This window comes from Homo sapiens, chromosome X (assembly GCF_000001405.40).
Source record: "Homo sapiens chromosome X, GRCh38.p14 Primary Assembly".
Lineage (NCBI taxonomy): Eukaryota > Metazoa > Chordata > Mammalia > Primates > Hominidae > Homo > Homo sapiens.
In genome coordinates, this window is record NC_000023.11 from 108,438,681 (window position 1) to 108,461,966 (window position 23,286).

General features: G+C 36.4%; 2 protein-coding genes across 12 annotated transcripts in view; one reads left to right on the plus strand and one right to left on the minus strand.

The window, feature by feature from the left end:
- Nucleotides 1-778, minus strand: part of COL4A6 (collagen type IV alpha 6 chain) — a 283,845-nt gene extending 283,067 nt beyond the window's left edge. For all 8 annotated transcript variants that reach the window (XR_001755650.2, XM_047441813.1, NM_001847.4 and 5 more), the window contains exon 1: nucleotides 678-778. Coding sequence is in view for 7 of the 8 variants with exons in the window: in XM_047441813.1 (XP_047297769.1) it covers nucleotides 678-691 (14 nt within the window). In the remaining variant the exon portion in view is untranslated. The remainder of the gene's footprint in view (nucleotides 1-677) is intronic.
- Nucleotides 1,158-23,286, plus strand: part of COL4A5 (collagen type IV alpha 5 chain) — a 257,708-nt gene continuing 235,579 nt past the window's right edge. For all 4 annotated transcript variants that reach the window (XM_047441810.1, NM_033380.3, NM_000495.5 and 1 more), the window contains exon 1: nucleotides 1,158-1,526. Coding sequence is in view for 3 of the 4 variants with exons in the window: in NM_033380.3 (NP_203699.1) it covers nucleotides 1,446-1,526 (81 nt within the window). In the remaining variant the exon portion in view is untranslated. The remainder of the gene's footprint in view (nucleotides 1,527-23,286) is intronic.

Here is a 23,286-nt window from a genome sequence, read left to right on the forward strand (position 1 = left end):
ATAAGACAGATGGGCCCGAAAGTGCCCTTGCACACATGCCCAAATGCATACAACACTGATTCAAATTGATAGTACACTAGGCTATTGGGAAGGGGAGACAGTTTCTGGAGTTGTAAATCCACTCTGAGCTAAGCAGAACCTAAGGATGAGTGGGCCCTCGTGAAATAGATCCAAAACCTTGAAAGACTCTAAAGTGGTTAATTCTAGGAAGATAGAAATGTTGTGAAGAATTCTTCATCAAATTCTTGAAGATTCTCCAAGGAGTCCGCAGAAAGTATTTTCTAGTTCTTTTGTTACTTTAAAAAAAATCTATATATCAGAATTATCAAAGGAACATTCAAGTCTTTATATGGGAGATATCGATTCAGCTGCCATCAACTCTATTTAAATATTTCCAATTAAGTGTTTATATTAATTCTAAGAAACACTGCACTAAATTTATTTAATTCCCTGCCCTAAATCTTTCTGAAACACAACTACAATGAGAGTCAATACCTTTTACATTAGCTCAATATAGGAGGCATTAATTATAGGATTCAATGCAGCTAAACAGAGATATAGCTGTATTATAATAACATAATACCATAGAATAATTACCAATACCTGCTGAATGCTCCCAGATCTTATACGTATATAACACACATAAAGTATTCACGCACATATACTTATTTTCTTACTTGTTTATAAGCATATACTTTATTTATTCCCAATATTTTCACATCTTCTGCTTGTATGTAGAAACTCTCTGTTCTGTGAGCAGCTGGAAGGTAAAGAAGACCAGCAGCCCAGGGAGCACCGACCAAAATTTGTTTCTAATGAGTAACAATAAAAAGCACGGCCCCTCTGAGATCCATCCGCTAAAAAAATAGTCCCAGTTTAGATCTATTTGTAATTGGCTTTGGTACGCACACCAATGAGATTGGAACTGAGCCTAGAAAAGTAGTATCAACGGAAGGTGCAAATGAACGAATAGAAAAGCTTCCCGGTTGGACTCATGGTGCTCAGTCAACTAGTCTGGAAGTTTCCCTCCCCCAAATAACTGAGCGTCACTCCCTCGCAGGTTGCCGGTGCAGTCTAAAACTGTGGCGGAGTGATACTCAAATTCCCTTGTGCTGGTGAGGAGGGGGGCCTTGCACGGGGAAGAGAGGGAGGAAAGTAGATCTGTAGGAATTGAGTGAAGAAAAAGTTTGCAAGTCTGGACAGAAGGGAAAAGTTCTCCTGAGAGACCGGCTTTGGGGAGGGGAGGGGGGAAGGAAGAGTAGCTCCTTCTTCTTCTTCTTTTTTTTTTCTTCCACTCTTAAAAAGCTTCTTTCTCTTCACCCAAGCCTCACTGTCCCTCTCCGGCTCTAGCTCTCTCCATATAAACCCTCAAGATTATGTCAATTGGTTAGAGCCAGCCGGGAATTTCGTGCGGGTGCTGAAGGAGCTGCGGGAGCCGGAGAAGAATGAAACTGCGTGGAGTCAGCCTGGCTGCCGGCTTGTTCTTACTGGCCCTGAGTCTTTGGGGGCAGCCTGCAGAGGCTGCGGTAAGTCCTTCCTCCCCTCCCCCGCGCCCATCACCGCTCTTTCACGCTGAAATTACCTTTTTTTTGGGGGGGGGGTCCCTTTATCTTCCTTTTGGCGTTGACTAGGGAATTCAAATTTGCTTTCTCATGTTTAGGAAGAAACGTTATTTGCAACACCGGTAACTCAAGCCTTCTGAAGTCCAACGGAGAGGTTTAAGTGCTTAAAAATAGGGCTGCTTGCTTCCCTGCAGCTAGCTCCTCCGGGGGCAAGAGCAAAGTCAGAAGTGGGGGACGCTAATTAAAGGCTCACTAGGCTGTGGTGGGTATTTAAAACTTTTCCTCCCCTCCCTCCACCGTCGGGTGTTTCCCTGCCTGGCGACTAACCTTTTCACTACTTGTACCCAGCCCACTCTTTGAATTTTGTCTGTAGTTTAATATTTTGGCTCTTCGAAAATCCAGCTTCCATCAAAGTGTTTTTAGCGCCTCAGTGAAGTTCGTCCCCTTTGCTCTTTCCTTAAGCAACAGGAACCTACCCCCACCTCAGGTCATTCAAGCCACTGACCTCCTTTTCCCTTTTGACATCCTTGTTACAAATGAAATGCTAAGGCAACATACCAAGAAGAGTGAGGTAAAGTCTCAGGCTTCAGGTCTTTTGCGTCTTTTTGTTGTTGTTGTTTTTTCTAAATTATGGGTTTTTTTGTTTGTTTACTTTTTTTTAAACCTACCAAGGCATCTGAACAAATTGAGAATTTGCCCATCACCTATTCAAAGGAAAATACTCCTTTTTCAAAGGAGAATCAGTGTTCCAGTTTAAAGGAAAGTGGGGGAGGAGGTACATGTGAAATAGCAGCAAAAAGCTCCATTCAGTTTTAGGAATGTAGAATTCAAACCTCAGTATATCTCTTAGAAGGGTATCTGGGTAGTCCCACCCACTGTCCTATTGGGGATGAGGGCCAGATGTTAAAAAAATGAATGGCTTTGTGAGAGAAAATGTTCTCCAGCCTGAAGCCCATCATCTTTAATTTCATATAACCTCTGAAGAATAAGTGTGTGACAAATTATTTAAATTTATTTGAGTGATCATTATGGATAGTTTTAAAAACTGTTTAATATGAGATCATGGCTTAGGCCTTCACATGGTTGAGTGACCGTCAATTCTTTGTAAGCAGCTGCTATGTTACAGCTCATCTGGGTCCACTTTTAAGTTAGCTGTCTAGCTTCCCTATAGCACTTAGCATGCCTCAAATCACATGTCCTCTTTCTATCCTTCTGAAGGTGTGTACCCGGTGTATGAAAACTAACTTTCATATTACTCTGAGCACAACATAATTATAATAGCAAATTTGCTGAAAAACCATGCATATCAAATATTTTTACTATGCATGCCATAATTTTCTTCCATCAAAGTAGACAAATGATTTAAAAATGCTTTTTTGATGCAGAGCATCTTAATGGGGGTAAGGTTTAGCCAGTCAATAGGGCTACAGACTTGGATAAAACTGCAATTGTGCTGTTGAAAATAGTTCATTTTAAAAACATCTTCTTGGTGCCCTCTGTTTCTGGCATTTGGCCCAGGGACAAAGATTTTGTAGATGTTTGATTAAATATATATATGTTTTTTGATGTTACTTTTAACAAATTTGCACCAGATGACAACTATACAGGTATGTATAGCAACACTACACATCAATTAATATTAAATCAATTTATGTTAACAATGAGGTTTCTTTTTATTGACAAAACTTGAGAGCAAGCTTGTTTTCTTGGATTCTTAAACTAATGAGTATTCATGAAGTCATTACAGCTCTTTCCCTTTTCCTCCTATATAATTTTTAAAGAACATTTTATATCCCCTTTTCCTATCATTAGGATATTGTGCCTCTATTAAAACCAAGGGTTTGTTTTTCCTGGTTCATACATAAATATTTTAATAGGCTCAAAAATATGAATGATATCGGCTCTGCATACTTGTGCTGGAGATATCGGTGACCATTTCTAGAGTAAAACTGGTTGGTGGTAGGGCTAGTCTTTGACTGGAGTAGTTTAGTATTGGGGTTTTTATATCAAAAAAGTGTTGCTATTTAAAGTGCTTTACTCTTTTATAGGTAAATGATTTCTTTATCTCTGAAATCATGCCAAATTGGTACATCACAAATATGTGGAAGATCTTTTTTTTAGGTAGAGCATTCATTAGGTGGAATAAAGTAACCTCTATGCCAAAAGGTTAGTAATAAGAGAAGACAGTTTTAAGTTGGAAATATAATTTTTAGTGATGGAAATAACATTTTTATGTGAAGGTAATTATACCTGTACTGATTCACTGTCAGTGGGATATGCACTTAGATTTGTGGATGTGGGTAGTATGTAAAATTATGTTAGTTTTATTTTACATAGTTAGTAAGTTGTTTTCTGTGCAGTAGATTGGATATTTTTGTCTACTTTAAACGTACTATCTTCCTTGTGACCAGCGGCACGAATTTATCAAGGGTAGGAGTGTTGTTTGTAGCCATGAAACACTTCATCCTCTATGAAGTATATTGCTCCATAGGAAAAACTTGTCATCATTGTCATCATTATTAATGTAGATAACATAATGAGTGTTTACTATGTGCCAGGCACTGTGCTAATATGATAATACATATTATCATATTTAATCTTCAGAACAGACTTATGAGACATATACCGTTATTATCCTCACTTTACAGATGAGAAAACTACAAATTACAGACGTTGAATACATTCCCAGAAATCCAGTCATGTAGGCAGTAACTTGTGAAGCTGGAAAATTTGAATCCAGGCAGTTTGACTCTAGAATCTTTGCCCTTAATGACTGTCCTATACTGCCTACTTTGTATGTGGTCTATAGAGATTTACTGGTGTGTAAAGTATTTGGATCTCTGCCACTTTTTTTGGACACAGGAGGTGAAATGGAAATGATAATGGGGGTTACATGTCTTCCTGCTGATGTTAGGAGAAGCAGCATGGTGTAATGGAAATAGCTTTGGGCCTAGAATAAAAAGATCAGAGTTTGACCTCTGTATCTGTATCTAGAGTGAGATTATTTAAAAGCAATCTAAAAGCAAATGCTGTTGAAGGTTTTATGATTTTATGTAATCACAATATGTAAACATTTCAACTTATATAACTACTATAATTTGTGACAGATGATTTGTTTTGAAGGAAGATTTGCCTTATGATTATTTAATTACTCAGTTACTGCATTAATTTTAAGTCCACCAAACTTTTCAGGAGCATGTCTATTGTGAAACAACCGGGTATGTGTGTATGGTAACACACTTTACTTAACATGCTTAATTTAGTTTTGTTCTTTTTTTGTACTAATTTGCCTACCTATCATATCCAATTTTATTCACAAACTATATAGATATATATCTTTAGTCTTATGCATATATCTATATATGTATCTGTCCCATGGCAGTGTAAGAGTTTGTATTTTTTCATGTGTTTTTATTTACCTTTTGATGTCTATACATGTAAGACATGAGACTCTTTACATCCCTGAAAGCTTGGTTAAGATGGTGTCTGCTAGGTTTATTCACTATAAAGTCACTATTTTTTCTTTTGTAATTACAAAGTGAGACTATGCAGGGCAATATTGTGAGACAATGTAAATATCCTGTTTCTCATCATATATTTGCCCACTAATTTTAGCATATGTTGATGATTCTGGCTTGAATAAATTATTGTTGTGACATTTGCCAGACATTGATTTCAATTTTCAACATTTTTACATTTATTAATTGATTGAATTATACTGTAATAAAAAACTTTCTCTTTACGCTTAATGTATATATTTATTCAGCTGTTTATAGCAGTATGGACTTAATGAATATTTGTTTTATTCTATAGGTTATAATGAATTATGCTCTTACTACTTTTTGTTTTTGCTGAAACCCAGATTTGGCCAACAGGAGCCCCTTCAAATTGGCTCCTGTGTCCTTTCAACATGTCTCCATCATTTTTTAAGCACCCTCTTACTTTCTGGCACCACAGATGTTCCAGACTCTTTTTTTTTTCTTTTTTTTTTTGAGATGGAGTCTTGCTCTGTCACCCAGGCTAGAGTGCAGTGGCGCGATGATCTCGGCTCACTGCAAGCTCTGCCTCCCGGGTTCACACCATTCTCCTGCCTCAGCCTCCCAAGTAGCTGGGACTACAGGTGCCAGCCACCATGCCGGGCTAATTTTTTGCATTTTTAGTAGAGACGGGGTTTCACCATGTTAGCCAGGATGGTCTCGAACTCCTGACCTCGTGATCCACCCGCCTTGGCCTCCCAAAGTGCTGGGATTACAGGCGTGAGCCACCGCACCTGGCCTCCAGACTCATTTTTTAATTTCCTTGCCCCAACTCTGGAATCAGAATCTTTTCTCCAAGGAGCTCTGATTCTTTTTATTGGAGAATGGTATGTAGAAGCCAAGATCTGGGTGCTTGGCATGCTTATTGCTACTGAGGTGTCATTGCCTCTAGGCCCTCTCAGCAGGCAGAACTAGGAAATATATGTATATATGCACACATACCTGTTTCTATATCGATTTCTTGAAGTCCCTCTTTATATATGTCAAAATCATGGATTCATAATGATACATCTGATTCCAGTCCAAGACCCTAGAATAAATATACATGATCTCATTCTCTTCTGGTATTTCTCTTCACACGTTTTGTGGACTTTGTAGAGGTCTTATACAGAGTCTTCAAGAGGTTGGCCTCTGAAGTCAGACATGGAATCTGACTGGTAGATGTGTAACTTTCAGCAAAATAGTAATCTTTGAGACTTAATTTCCTCATTGGCAAAAGGAAGGCCGTAGCACCTATCTCACATATTTTTTTTTTTAGGATGAAATGAGAAAAGTTATGTAAAACATATAGTATTTGACACCATAGTAAATGTTAAATCAATTTTAGATTTCATTATTGTCATTATATTTATTGACTTACCATTTCTTACTACATCAACTCTCAAATCTCCTGTCTGATTTTCAAGGCCTATCATGATCTTTTCCCTTATCCAACCTTATTTTTCATTACAGTTTATAATATACTCCCTCCAGTCTAGCCTAGGTAAGCTTTCCTACAATCCCGTGAGCACTGCATACACATTTTGGCCCTCCATCTTGATTAGAATTTTGTGGATTCAAGTCTTTGCTCAATTCCAGCAAATGTTTACATTTATTCAGCAGATATTTATTCAGCAACTTCTAAGTACTCAAAAATTCTATTTATGCTGTTCTATTTCTATTCATGGAGGTGTACTGCCTACAAAATCATTTTGTGCTAGACACTATGGCTAAAACCAAATAAAGACAAGGTTCTTCCCTTCATGGTGTTTACATACTGGTGAGAATAGCTAAATAGTCCTGTGAAACTTTCCCTTATTATAGTATCAAATACTGATTGTACCTTTCTTTGAACATTTGTAATATTTAGCCTCTCCCAGTTTCGTATCTGCATGTATTTGGTCTTATAGGCATTTTGTTTTATGACATTTTATCTGTTCTTTTTATTTGATTAAAGTCCCTTTTGAAGCAATAACTATATATTTGTTCATTCAACCAATTCATATGTTGATTTTATATGGTAACAAAAGTAACAGCTGCTCAATGTTGGAAACTTGAAAAACATAAAGAAAATAAAAATATGTCCACAGTTCTACCAGCAGGCCAGAACTGTGCTGGCTGAGCACAGAATAATGGTGTGTGTTTTGATTATTGTTGTTTTTACTATTTTCTTTCCTATATATATAATATGTTTTTAAAAATAAATTTGGCATAGAACAATGACTTGTAAGAGTACAATTTTTGAATTGTAAATGATATGTTAAGGTTTGGATGTGAATCACGAAACTCTAAGCACAATTCATGTTTCAATTGCTATGGTAAAGTTTTCATTTCATGAAGATACTGAATTTTTAAAATACTAAAAAACCTGATTAAATAAACACTAGCTAATAACTAAAAAAAAAGTTGGTTAAAATAAAAAAGTAAGTTGGGCTTATTCTACATATAGTTTTATTTCTTACTGTTTGATCACTTATCAAGCAGTTTCCCATGTTAACATTCTTAGTTTTAAAACGTTATTTTAAAATGATTACATACAACTTGTATTTATACACACTCCAATTTATTTACCTGTTCACTTTTGTAGAGTATATTTTAAAATGTCAAGATTTGTTAGCCATCGTAAGAAGTGCTGCCATGAACATTTCTTATTCCATATTTTTATTATTTTATTGCTACAGCCGCCTTCATGGGGAATTAGTGGGTTAAACGCTATAAGTATTTTTCAAGTCTTTGATACATACAGTAGACCCTGATATTTAAAAAGGCTATATCAACAGAGAAATTATGGTAACTTTTTTAGTGGTTACTATGTTATATCCTGTTAGGTAGCTAATGTTATTTCCACTTTTATATACAAGGAATCAGAAGCCCACATTGGTTAAATAACTTGCCAAAGGTCGTGCAGTTGATACATGATTGGGCCAAGATTTAAACCAAGGCTCTAGAACCTGCTCATGAGATTCTCCTCAATCCCTATTTCATACATGGTAGATAATAGAGAAAAGTAAAGTCATGATGAAAAGTTGAATAATTCTCATTGCCCTTTCTGTAAACCCTTCTGTGACTGGTCACTTAAGATGATTCTGAAGAAAGACTCTCCATTGGCTCATCTTTTAATAAGTCTTTACCATAACTGCCTAGGCCGTTCATCCTTAAGGGCTTAAATTTTAATTTTGTGCACAATATATCCTCCTACTTTTCTCCCCTGGGCAGAAGGTGGAGCTTGCCCTCCACAAATACCTCTCCTACTGATCTCTTCCCAGCTATAACAGTGGTATAACATACTCAAATTCATTGACATTCTCCCTCCCCCAGAAGAGTTTTGTGCATATGCATCTGAAATGAGAGCCCCTTCTGACCACTTTCCCCACCCCTCTCACCAGCCCCTGCACTGTAGCTGTCTTTCAGGCTTACACTTAAATGGCTGTGTCTTTACCTAGTATTGTCCCTAGCTTTCATCTCTCCCTTAGTGATACTCAGAAACTTCCCTTCATTAATTCTTAATCTTTTTTTTCCACTTTGGGGAGATAATATCACAGCCTCAATTCCCTCTTTTTAGAAAATTAAACTGGTTAGTACATACGGAATGTGAGGTCCCCCATCCATTTTGTACCACTCCCAATTTGTAACATACTCACTTTACCTTCTCCTCACATTTCCTCAGTAGCCAAATGACATCATTGCCTGTTTGCCAGCCCTATAGCTTGCGCAATTGAAATTTATTTCTCTGCAAAGTCACAAACTGTTATGCATTGTGGTTTTTCCAGGTGGCATTTGAATAGCTGAACTTTAAGCTCCTGAGTGATAGGGATCTGCTCTTGCCAAATTACTTTCCAGAATGGTTTTACCAATTATACTCCTATCAGTAGTGTATAAGAGTGCCTGTGAGACAGACTTAATTTTTCTTTCCTATCTACTACAGTGACTATGGAATTGATGCTCAATTGATTGCCAGTTGGTTGGCTGATTTGGTCTTAGTCTCTAATGATTTTCTTTTACAAATGTAATCATTCCATCATCTCATCCCCTTGTGATGATAGCAGCTACGGAACAGAAGTAATTTTTGAAAATGTATTCTTTCTAATTAACATTATAAATGAACCACCCAGACACTTAGCTAAATCTTTATTATAAAGATTTGTTTTTAAATAGCAGTAATTCTTGAGGATTTTAGAGAAACACCTTCAGTGTGATATGTGACACATAGGCTTCTTTCATTTTAACAAACCAGATTCTCATTTTATGCAACTTGAACTTATTTACCTCCATAGTCTGTCCAGGTCCACCCACACTTTGTGCCTTTAGCAGCTTCTGCTGGCCTTTAACCAAAAGGGCAGTCTATGATGGTACTTGCTACCCTGTTGAAATGGGAACCTTAAATCCCTTGCTTTTCATTAATTAAAGACAGTCAAAGGCAAATGTTATAAAAGAAACAGGCTTTTGCTAAATTTAATTTTTAACTTTTTTATTTTAATGAATCTGTTATAAATGTCAGATGCTTACTAACTTGTAGAGAATGTAAGTACCATTTACAAGCAAGTTCTATTCTGGTTAATGGAATTGTGTTTTTGACAGTAATAAAATAAGACTTCAAGAAATTCTGTTAAGGAATTTGTATCATGCTATAATTCAATCAAATAATATTTTTCCTGTATATAGGAGAACTGGCTGGTTTGCTTTCAAAATTTCTTACAGTGTATATGACATTAATTGAGTACTGAAAGAGATATGGAACTTTGAGAGGGGCAGTGGTATTAGGAGTGGGACATGACTGATGAATTATTTAGTATATTCTGTGTTTACAAGCCCTCCAAAAGCTTGCTAAAGGAGGACTGGTCCTTCTCTGTCCATATTCTCACAATTTAATTGATGTAGTAAAATGTTTCTGTATGTGGAAGATAGTCATGGTGGTGTCTGTTTATATTAGATAGGTTGTTTTTCTTGCAAGTGCTAAAAAACACTATCTGTCTTAAACAATAAAAACAATTTTTAGCTCACATAACAAGAAGTTTGGAGGTTGATTATCTCCAAAGTTAATTAATTCAGCCAAATAATGACACTAGTAAGGGCCAGAGTTTGTTCCATTTTTCTGTACTGCCATACTCTGCCTATCAACTTGCCCTCTAATATTAGTGCCCCTCATACTCTCAAGATGGCTGCTGCAGTTCCAGGAATCACATGCAGACACTGCAATGCCCACTAGAAAGAGAGTATGAACTATTCATGTGTATCTCTTTTTACTAGCAATGGAAACTTTCTAAGGAGTCCCACAGCACCACCCTGAAAACACCTCTTATTTATCATTGGTTGAAATCGTGTTATATGTATATGCCTACACCAGTACATTGGCAAGTGGTATACGGACATAAACGTAGAGTTAGTCCAGTCACTCACACAACCACCTCTCCCTGCCCTGCGTCTGGCCAAAACACATTGCTACCTAGAAAAGTTGGAGGGTGGAAAATATGTAAATAAACTCATGATGTTTTGGGGGGAAGGAAGAAACAGTTTCTATTTCACAACCTCATGAGTTTGTCCTCAGGATCAGTTGATACAAAAGATTTGTAAGAAACTGGTGTATTTGTTAAATGTGATATATTACTTATCTAGGGAAACGAATGTTTTGTATAGTTCTACAAATGAAAGTTGTTGACTGTTCATAGGCATTTTAGAGCTGGAGGGACATTAGTGATCTTTTAGGTCAGTAGTTCTCAAACTGTGGTCTGTGGACCCCTACGGTTCCTGAAATCCTATTAGAGAACATGAGGAATATTTTAACAGTAATATTATCTTAGTCTGTTTGGGCTGCCATAACAAAATACCTCAGGCTGGGTGGCATATAAACAACAAATTATATCTCATTGTTCTGAAAGCTGAGAAGCCTAAGATCAAGGCAGATCAAACCTAAGATTCAGTGTCTGGTGAGGGCCCTCTTTCTGGTTCACAGATGTTATGGTCTCTCTGTGACCTCACATGGTGAAAGGGGAAAGGCGTTTTTTTCTCTGGAGCGTCTTTTACAAGGGCACTAATCTCATTCATGAGGGCTTCTCCCCGTGACATAATCATCTCCCAAAGGCCCCACCTCCTAATGCCATCACCTTGAAGATTATAATTTTAAAACATATGAATTTTTTTGGAGGGGACATAAACATGTATCATAGCAAATACGAAGAATGTTTACTTTTCTCACTATGTTGACATTTGCACTGATGGTGAGTAAAATTACTGGTGCAGTGTACCACATTTTCTTAGTAGTTGTATTCGTCATACTCTCAGGGGGGAGAAAGCCAGTTTTACCTCAGAGGGTCCTCAATGTAGCATTAATTTATATTAATTGAATTTTGACCCTTGAGTGTATGTCTTTTTAATATTACATATGACAAAATTGGAAGTATACACAAAGCACTTATGTACGCTGAAGTAAGATAGTTGTTTCTAGGAAAAGCACTTGTGCAATTGTTTGAGTTACGAGCTGAACCAGTTGATTTTTGCATGGAACGCTTTTTTGTTTGTTTTAGATACAGGGTCTTGCTGTGTTGCCCCAGCTGGTCTTGAACTCCTGGCCTCAAGAGGTCCTCCTGCTTCAGCCCCCCAAAGAGCTGGGATTACAGGCATGAGCCACCAAGCCCAGCCAAAATTCATTTTTACTTGAAAAACAACTGAGACAAACTGTGGTTATTTATACTTGGGTATTTGGCGGGCATTTTCTTGAAAATGAGTAGAATTAGCCTACCACTTCAGGGAAAACTACTGGCAGTATTTGTGGCCAATGAAAAATTTGAGCTTTTCAAGTAAGAATGAGAATTTTGGAAAACTTGAACCTGACACCAAGAGTGTGACAGCTTCCCAAATCTTAGACTTTTCTAATGAAGCTGGTAATTATATTAATGTGTATTTTTTATATTGTACAATAAATTGTGTTAACATTTGGAAGCTCTGCATAGGTCAGTGAACTAATGTTTTCCAAATGACTAATACACAGTGTTACAAAATCATGCATAGGGAAAAGATCCCTTCAAAGGGCAAGATAGATCGAGTTTAATGTAATTGAATAAAAAAAGCTAGTTTTTTTATTTTTATTTTTTATTTTTATTTTATTATTATTATACTTTAAGTTTTAGGGTACATGTGCACAATGTGCAGGTTAGTTACATACATGTGCCATGCTGGTGTGCTGCACCCATTAACTCATCATTTAGCATTAGGTATATCTCCTAATGCTATCCCTCCCCACTCCCCCCACCCCTCAACAGTCCCCAGAGTGTGATGTTCCCCTTCCTGTGTCCATGTGTTCTCATTGTTCAATTCCCACCTATGAGTGAGAACATGCGGTGTTTGATTTTTTGTCTTTGCGATAGTTTACTGAGAATGATGATTTCCAATTTCATCCATGTCCCTACAAAGGACAGGAACTCATCCTTTTTTATGGCTGCATAGTATTCCATGGTGTATATGTGCCACATTTTCTTAATCCAGTCTATCATTGTTGGACATTTGGGTTGGTTCCAAGTCTTTGCTATTGTGAATAGTGCTGCAATAAACATACGTGTGCATGTGTCTTTATAGCAGCATGATTTATAGTCCTTTGGGTATATACCCAGTAATGGGATGGCTGAGTCAAATGGTATTTCTAGTTCTAGAACCCTGAGGAATCGCCACACTGTCTTCTACAATGGTTGAACTAGTTTACAGTCCCACCAACAGTGTAAAAGTGTTCGTATTTCTCCACATCCTCTCCAGCACCTGCTGTTTTCTGACTTTTTAATGATTGCCATTCTAACTGGTGTGAGATGGTATCTCATTGTGGTTTTGATTTGCATTTCTCTGATGGCCAGTGATGATGAGCATTTTTTCATGTGTTTTTTGGCTGCATAAATGTCTTCTTTTGAGAAGTGTCTGTTCATGTCCTTCACCCACTTTTTGATGGGGTTGTTTGTTTTTTTCTTGTAAATTTGTTTGAGTTCATTGTAGATTCTGGATATTAGCCCTTTGTCAGATGAGTAGGTTGCGAAAATTTTCTCCCATTTTGTAGGTTGCCTGTTCACTCTGATGGTAGTTTCTTTTGCCGTGCAGAAACTCTTTAGTTTAATTAGATCCCATTTGTCAATTTTGGCTTTTGTTGCCATTGCTTTTGGTGTTTTAGACATGAAGTCCTTGCCAATGCCTAGGTTTTCTTCTAGGGTTTTTATGGTTTTAGGTCTAACATTTAAGTCTTTAATCCATCTTGAATTAATTTTTGTATAAGGTGTAAGGAAGGGATCCAGTTTCAGCTTTCTACATATAGCCAGCCAGTTTTCCCAGCACCATTTATTAAATAGGGAATGCTTTCCCCATTGCTTGTTTTTCTCAGGTTTGTGAAAGATCAGATAGTTGTAGATTTGTGGCGTTATTTCTGAGGGCTCTGTTGTGTTCCATTGATCTATATCTCTGTTTTGGTACCAGTACCATGCTGTTTTGGTGACTGTAGCCTTGTAGTATAGTTTGAAGTCAGGTAGCATGATGCCTCCAGCTTTGTTCTTTTGGCTTAGGATTGACTTGGCGATGCTGGCTCTTTTTTGGTTCCATATGAACTTTAAAGTAGTTTTTTCCAATTCTGTGAAGAAAGTCATTGGTAGCTTGATGGGGATGGCATTGAATCTATAAATTGCCTTGGGCAGTATGGCCATTTTCACGATATTGATTCTTCCTACCCATGAGCATGACATGTTCTTCCATTTGTTTGTATCCTCTTTTATTTCATTGAGCAGTGGTTTGTAGTTCTCCTTGAAGAGGTCCTTCACATCCCTTGTAAGTTGGATTCCCAGGTATTTTATTCTCTTTGAAGCAATTGTGAATGGGAGTTCCCTCATGATTTGGCTCTCTGTTTGTCTGTTATTGGTGCATAAGAATGCTTATGATTTTTGTACATTGATTTTGTATCCTGAGACTTTGCTGAAGTTGCTTATCAGCTTAAGGAGATTTTGGGCTGAGATGATGGGGTTTTCTAGATATACAATCATGTCATCTGCAAACATGGACAGTTTGACTTCGTCTTTTCGTAACTGAATACCCTTTATTTCCTTCTCCTGCCTAATTGCCCTGGCCAGAACTTCCAACACTATGTTGAATAGGAGTGGTGAGAGAGGGCATCCCTGTCTTGTGCCAGTTTTCAAAGGGAATGCTTCCAGTTTTTGCCCATTCAGTATGATATTGGCTGTGGGTTTGTCATAGATAGCTCTTATTATTTTGAGATACATCCCATCAATACCTAATTTATTGAGAGTTTTTAGCCTGAAGGGTTGTTGAATTTTGTCAAAGGCCTTTTCTGCATCTATTGAGGTAATTATGTGGTTTTTGTCATTGGTTCTGTTTGTATGCTGGATTACATTTATTGATTTGCGTATATTGAACCAGCCCTGCATCCCAGGGATGAAACCCACTTGATCATGGTGGATAAGCTTAAAAAAAGCTAGTTGATAAAGTTTCAGATTCTACATTACAACTAACCTTATCTTAAAAGGCTATTAGAATGCACACTTTTCCAGCTATATAACTATTGGAAACCAGATTTTCTTCATATATTTTAAGTAAAGCAATGTATTCCAACAGAAGAAATGCAGAAGCAGATAGGAGGATTCAGCTTTTGTCAAAGCAAAGAAATCTACAAAAAAAGTAAAATAATCTCTCTTCCCACTATTTTTTTTTGTTTTGGAAAATATAAGTAATTTTCATAAAAATTCATAATATATGTTAACATTTAATGGGTTTATTGCCACTTGAAAATGAATAAATAATTTTAAATATTACTCAGTTTTAATTTTTATATGGTATATGTTGATAGATGTAATCCAGATGATGGGGTCTTCAATACTTTTTAAGAGAGTAAAAAGGTCTTGAAAACAAGAAGTTTGAAAACTACTGCTATACCGAGGCCAACTCCATCTTTTACATGAAAGTGATTAATGAAAGATGATAACTAGTTATTTAGTTGCAGAGGCAGAGATGGAAGCTGTATTTTCTGAATCTTATTCTCGTCCTCTCTCCAGTATACTACATTGGTTTAGGGATTGGTAAATTGATAATATGATGTGGTAATTTTGTTCATCGTGGTAGATACAGTTAAAATACCAAACAGAAAATGTAGATACTAGATTGTACTCGTCTTGCCTACCATTTTCAATCCAATTGCCAAGTCAGAAACATTCTTGCTACACAAACCACAGCAGAAGAGACACACACAAAAAATAGCTAAAGTTGCAGTTACTTTTAGGTACTAAATTGGAAAATTCATGAAACCAGAGTTCTTATCTTACATATCTTTGTATTCACCACAGTGCATGGACTGGTTTCTTCTATATAGTTATCTCTCAGGAAATAGTTGTTGAATGAATGTTGAATTTGGGGAAGGAGTAGATTTATCCGGATAACACTAAGAGGCAAAACTTAGAATCAATGGGTTAAGTTACAGGAACCCTGGATAGCAATAATTTTCTTTTTTCTTTTCTTTTCTGTTTTTTGTTTGTTGGTTTGTTTTGTTTTTGTTTTGTTTTTTGTTTTGAAGGAATCTTGCTCTTGTCGCCCAGGCTGGAGTGCAATGGCATGATCTCAGCTCACTGCAACCTCCCCCTCCCAAGTTCAAGTGATTCTCCTGCCTCAGCCTCCTGAGTAGCTGGGATTACAGGCGCCCGCCACCACACCCAGCTAATTTTTTATTTTTAGTAGAGGCAGTGTTTCACCACGTTGGCCAGGCTGGTCTCAAACTCCTGACCTCAGGTGATCCACCCTCCTCGGCCTCCCAAAGTGCTGGGATTACAGTCGTGAGCCACCATGCCCAGCCAGCAATAATTTTCTAACAGTTAATTATTTGCTACTTAGTAATGGAAATGTCTCATTAGTAATAGGAATGTTCCTTTACTAAAAATGCTCAAATAGAAGGTGGATGCTGCTCTGTCTGCCAACATACCCATGAGGTCCCTTTGGACTCTAAGATTCTGTTTTTTCTGGTAATTAGAAGGAAAATACTTTCTTACTGAGCTCAAGTCTACTTCTATGATTTTATCGAGACAAGGTCTCCTGCTGCCTAGGCTGGTCTCAAACTCCTGGACTCAAGGGATCCTCCAACCTCAGCCTCCCAAAGTGCTGAGATTACAGGTGTGAGCCACCACGCCTGGCCTACTTCTATGATTTTAAAGCAAATTTTAGGTATAATTGACATACAATAAAATGCATATATTTGAAGTGTACAATTTGAGTTGTGACATATGTATACACCTGCGAAACCATCACAACATTCAAGATAATGAACATGTAAATTGCTCCAAAAGATTTTTATTCCTCTTTGTAATCCCTCCCTTCCTACCCCCATCCTCCATCCCCAAATAACCACTGATCTGCTTTCTGTACAGTAGAAAGTTTCATTTTCTAGATTTTTATATAAATGCAATTATATGATATGTATACATTCTTTGCTCTGACTTATTTCACTTAGCATAATTATTTTGAGATTCATCCATGTCATGGTGTGTGTCCATAGTTTATTATTTTATTGCACAGTAGAATTCCATTGTATTGATACACCACACTGTTGATGGACATTTGGGTTGTTTTTTGTTTGTGGCTATTAAAGTTGCTATGGGCATTTTCTTGCACTTTAAAAGTACTAAATTGAGCTATAATTTCCATAAAGTGATACACAGTGATCTTAGGTGAACAGCTCAATTATTACTTAACTCAATTATAACTTAACAAAGTGTATACCAATCATATATACTTTGGTAACTACCAACCAAGTGAAGATGTAGAACGTTTCCATTACCTTGGAAAGGTCCCTCATGCCCGTCCCATTTCAATGTCTTTTGTGTCTTGTCTGAATAAGCCACAAGGTTGTGAAGATACATGTTTTCTTCCATAATCTGTATAGCTTCAGATTTTGTATTTATGTCCATTTTTCTTATATAGATACCCAGTTGTTCCAGTATTGTGTATTTAAAAGAAAAATTCCTTTTTTTTTCATTGAATTACCTTGAGGACTTTATTGAAAATCAATGGAATGTGTATATGCAGGTGTAGGTTGAAACTCACTAGTCTGTTCTATTCACCTGTTTGTGCATCCTTATGCCAGTATCACACTGTATTGATTACTGTGGCATTACTTTGGTAGCATAAGTCCTTTACATTTCTTCTTATTCAGGATTGTGTTAGCTTTTGTGTTGGCTATTTATTCCATATAAATTTTACATTAATCTTGCCAAATTTTGCTTAAAAACCTTTTGAGGTTTTGATAGGAATTGTAACAATTGTGTAGATCAATTTAGGAACAACTGAAATCTTAAAATTATTATTTTTTTCAATCCATGAACACCATATACCTCTCCATTAATTTAGGTATTCTTTAATTAGCTTCATCATAGAGGTCATGCACATCATTTGTTAAATTTCTTCCTATATGAATAATTCTATTCTAAATGGTATCATTTTTAAAATTTTATTTTTAGTTACTTGTTGCTAAGATGTAGAGATGTGATTCATTTATATATTGATCTGTTTATCCAAAGATAAAATGCTAATTAATTTTCTTATGGTATGATTTACATACTGTAAAATTCACCCACTTTATGCACAGTTCTATTATTTTTGACAGATGTATACAGTAATATAAATATAGTCTCTAATCAAGATATAGAACAGCATTTCTAAATTTATTCATTAGTTCTAGTAGTCGTGTCCATTTCTTTGGATTTTGTATGTATACAATCATATCATCTGAAAATAAAGAGGGTCATAGTTTTTCCTTTCCATTACCTATGTCTTTTTGTCCTGGCTATCTTATTGCACTGGCTAGGACCTCCAGTACAAATATAATGGAAGTAGTAAAGAATGACTTTTTTTTTGCTGTCTTTTAAGGAAGATACTCAATATTTTGCTATTATATCAGCTGTAGGTTTTCCATAAACTTTACAGATCGAGGTGGTCCTTTTTCATTTCTATTTGCTGAAAATCTTTTTTAAAGTAATGAATGTTAAATTTCATCAAAAAATAATTTGTATCTCTTTAAACAATCATATTGTCAGGAGCTCAGCCGAGCTGCTAGGTGTCAGACACCAAGCCAAAATCAAAATAATAGTCAAGCCTTTAATCACTTAGTGTGATTATATAAACAAGAAGCTAAACCGGAGAAAGTGCTGAGGACTGTCCTCACTTCCCAGTTACATTTTTCCCCATGGTAGATTGGACCAGCACAGGCTTCGGGGGTCTGTGTTTTCTCACTGACAAGGGAGCCCCAAACAAAAGGCTCTGGCAGTGTTAGGGACCCAGGGGTTTGGGGGAGGAAGAAGGAAAAGGCTAGGTGTGGAAAAATACCTAGTACTGAGTCAGAGTGGAAAGAAGTGTCTTCAACGTTTGCTCCCACTTCCTCTGCTGTGAATATTTGTAAACAAGTCTTTGGGTAGACAAATGCTTTCATTTTCCTTGGATAAATATCAAGGAATGGAATTGCTGGGTTGTAGCATTAGTCTATTTTTAGCTTTACAAGAAACTGCCAAATTGTTTTCCTAAGTGGTTGTACCATTGTACTTTCCACTGAAGTATGAAAGTTGTAGTTGTTCCTCGTCAGAACTGTGCATAAAATGGGTGAATTTTACAGTATGTTAATCATACCGTAAGAAAAATAATTAGCATTTTATCTTTGGATAAACAGATCAATATATAAATGAATCACATCTCTACATCTTAGCAAGTAATTAAAAATAAAATTTTTACCTGCATTTGATATTGTCACTCTTTTTAATTTTAGTCATTTTGATATCTTAGTATTGGTATGTTCTTGTCATTTTCTTATAGTCACCTTTTGTTTATATTGAGTAAAATTCGCTATCTTTGGTGTACTGCTCTATGAGTTTTGATAAAAGCATACAACCTTTAACTACTGCCGTAATCAAGACTCAGAATACTTCCATAACCTCAAAATGTTTCCTCATATTGCTATGTAATTAACCTCTCTACTTACCCACAGTTTCTGGCAATCACTCATCTATTTTCTGTTCCTATAATTTTACCTTTTTTATAAATGTCTTATAGATTGACTCATCCAGTATGTAAAATTTTGAGTCTAGCTTTTTCCTCTTAGCATAATACATTTGAGATCCATCCATGTTATATGCATCAGTAGTCCATTTCTTTTTTATTTGTTTTCTTATAATTGAGTAGGAAGAGCTTTTTGTGCATTCTGCATATAATATATTCATTTCATACATACATGCCATGCGGATATGCTCTGCCATTTGGTGGCTTGCGTTTTTGTTTTCTTACCTATAATTTTCAGAGAATAAAAGTTGAATTTTGATATAGTCCATTTTATCACCTTTTTATGGTTATAGCTTTCTGTCCCCTTTATAAGAAATCTTTGACTTCCCCAAGGTCACCAAGATTTTCTTTCATATTTGCTTCTAAATGATTTTATAGTTTTTGCTTTTGATCCATTTACTTATTTTTGTGTGGTGTTTGGTAAGAGTTCTGGTTCAGTTTTTATCCCATGTGTTTAGTTCCAGCACCATTTGTTGAACAGACTATCCCTTCCCCATTAAATTACCTTGATACTTTTGTTTTGTAGGTCTGTTTTGTATTCTAGTCTGTTTCACCAATCTCTATGTCTATCCTTATGCCAATACCACAATGTCTTCACTACTGTACTTTTATGATAAGGTCTGAAATCAGGTAATGTAAGTTCTCCAAATTTGTTCTTTTCATATTTTGGGGTCTCCTCTTCGCCCCCGCCTCCTTCTTTGAATTTCTATATAAATTTTACAGTTACCTTGGCAATTTGTACAAGTAAAACTCCTGGAGTTTTGAATGGGATTGTATTTAATCTATAGGTCATTTTTGGGAAAAATGATGTCTTAACAGTATTCAGTGTTCTGATAAGTGAACATGGTGTATCTTTCCGTTTATTAAGATCATCTTTGGCCGGGTGCGGTGGCTCACGCCTGTAATCCGAGCACTTTGAGAGGCCGAGGCGGGTGGATCACGAGGTCAGGAGATAGAGACCATCCTGGCTAACACGGTGAAACCCCACCTCTACTAAAAATACAAAAAATTAGTTGGGCGTGGTGGCGGGCGCCTGTAGTCCCAGCTACTGGGGAGGCTGAGGCAGGAGAATGGCGTGAACCCGGGAGGCGGAGCTTGCAGTGAGCCCAGATCGCGCCACTGCACTCCAGCCTGGGTGACAGCGAGACTCCGTCTCAAAAAAAAAAAAAAATCATCTTTAATTTCTCTCAGCAATGTTTTCAGTGTGCAGGTCTTATATGTACTTTATTGAACTCATCCCCTAAGTATTCATGTATTTGAATTGTACTATAAATGGTATCGTGTTTTATTTTCTTTCAATTGTTTGTTGTTGGTATATAGAAATACAACTGATTTTTTTTTCTATTGACCTGTACACTGTGGTCTTGCTAAATTGATTATTTTTAGTAGCTCTTTCATGGATTATTTATAATTAACTACATACATGATTATGTCTTCTGTGAATTAAGATAGATTTGCTTCTTTCTTTCTAGTCTTCACACTCCTTTTTTTCCCCTTATTGTACTAATTAGGGCCTGTAGGATAACGTTTAATGTAAGTATTAAGACCCCAGTTCTTTGCTGCCTTTTCCCAATGTTTGAAAACATATGCTTCACACATTTTGTACAGTTTCCTAGTTGTTTGTAGCAAGAGGGCAAGTCTAGTAGCAATCATTCCAACAAAATCTGCTTTCAGTTTTTTGATATTTATAAATAACAATGATGTGAACATTTTTGAACGTATTTGCACTTCAGATTATTTCCTTTGAACAGAGTTCTAAAACTATATATTGTAATCTATATACATATATCTGTATCTATCTCTCTGCCTGCATATTTAAACCTACAGTATAAGAGCTACCTCAAGAGCAGTGACTATATTTCAAATTTATATACCTTGCATCATCTAGCAGACAGCCTTTCATTGGATTAATGGAAAGTAAAATCTTTATGATTAATTTTCTCATACCCAGAGTATCTATTTAACTATAGCATAGAGATATTTCTAATCTTGCCTGTGAAGTCTAAAAAGACTGTGATCATTACCATAGTTTTAATTTACTATTACTTTATTTTGCTTCATTTTAACTGTCTTATTTCTCTTTGATAATGTTGTAGGAAACAAGAAATATGTAGGTCTTAACTTTGGCCACTGTTAAAAATTTTTTTTAAAAAAATATAATTTGGTTTATTTTGAGAAAGGGAAGACATTTTTCCTAACTTTCCTACATTTTGTGTTAACTTTGTAGGATGTTGTTTGAGCAATGACCCTGTAGGACGTGGCCTTACACATTTTGAGTTCATTTGAGTTAATTTAGTTTCAGGAAGGCTTCTGAAATAGGAAGCATTTATTCAAGCTTTAGTATTCCTTCTGAATAGTTTTGCTAGCTAGCTATAAACAGGCCAATTTGCCCTAGCTCTAAGTTTATGTTAATTTTCATTACTTTGTTTCAAAATAAAAGGGCCAATTCCCGTTACATTTTGATTTAAAAAATTAAGCTATACATTTTTCTTAGATGTGGGTATGTTAAAGCTTTTCAATGTCTGGCAAAATTAATCACCCTAGGCCGTGGATTTCCTTGCCCCCAACTCCCTCCACCCCCTAAAGATACTTGATAATATGTTGGAAGGAGAGAAATAATAGCTTTTTTCTTCCAGTTCTTATGGTCAGGTGAGTTCCTAGGGTTTTTGTTTGTTTGTTTGTTTTGAGACAGAGTTTCGCTCTTGTTGCCCAGGCTGGAGTGAAATGGTGCGGTCTTGGCACACTGCAACCTCTGCCTCCCGGATTCAAGCAATTCTCCTGCCTCAGCCTCCTGAGTAGATGGGATTACAGATGCCTGCCACCACGCCTGGCAAATTTTTTTTTTTTTTTTTTTTTTTTTTTTTTTAGTAGAGATGCGATTTCACCATGTTGGCCAGGCTGGTCTCGAACTCCTGACCTCAAGTAATCCGCCTGCCTCGGCCTCCCAAAGTGCTGGGATTATAGGAGTGAGCCACCACGTTTGGCTGAGTTCCTAGGGTTTAAATGTTTTAAAATATTTTTATTCATAGTATACTCAAGTTATAGGAATTTGGTTAATAGTGAATAAATTCATTCTTAGCACCAGCCTCTCTCAATTCTATTTGCTTGCTTATCTTTTACAGCCTATTTAGACATATCATTTTTCTCCACAGTTGCAGTAAAGACTTCTTTCTGTTATAGCGCAAGCTTATTAGACCTTATCACAGCCTTCATGCCTTCATTTGTGTATACTATATAATGGGAAAAAAAAGACTAATGTTGTAAATTAACAAGTGAGATCAAACTGAAAAAGGTCACCTTTCTTAGAGGCTGAAAAAGAGATTCATTTTCTGGGGCCTGGATTTGTTTTTCTGACTAATTTTACTGCCACTTTTGAATTTGCAGATTGACAACCTTTATACTAAAAATATTTATCTGTATCCTAGTAGATTTCCAAATCCATATTCTCAGTTTTCTCTACTCCATGATATGCAGATATGGAAAAGGAGGCATTTTTTTTCCCCTCAGATGGTTAATGTTATAATTTGAAATTGGTAATATGCTAATAAACAAAGGTAGGTTCAAAATCAGATCTTTCTGATTTCCATGAGGCATTGTAAATATTATATTACTTAGGATTTGTTTTAAAATCAGGTTCCAATTTAAGTTGGAAAAAACTGAAAATGTTTAGAGGTAACAGTGATTAAATTATTTCAGATTATTATATTTTTCTTAGTTTTCCCTACATGTCTACTTCTTCATCTGTTGTTTTACTTTATGGTACTTAAACATTCTATAAAGTTTTTTGTTTTTTTTTGAGTTGGAGTTTCGCTCTTGTCATCCAGGCTGGATGGCATGATCTCGGCTCACTGGAACCTCACCTCCCGGGTTCAAGCCGTTCTCCTGCCTCAGCCTCCCAAGTAGCTGGGATTACAGGCATGCGCCACTACCCCCGGCTAATTTTTTGTATCTTTAGTAGAGACAGGTTTTCACCATGTTGGCTAGGCTGGTCTCGAACTCCTGAACTCAGGTGATCCGCCTGCCTTGGCCTCCAAAAGTGCTGGGATTACAGGAGTGGGCCACCACACCCAGCCTCTATAAAGATTTGTAGTGCGTTTAAACATTAATAGAATGAAAAAGTATTATAAAAGGCAAGAATATAGACA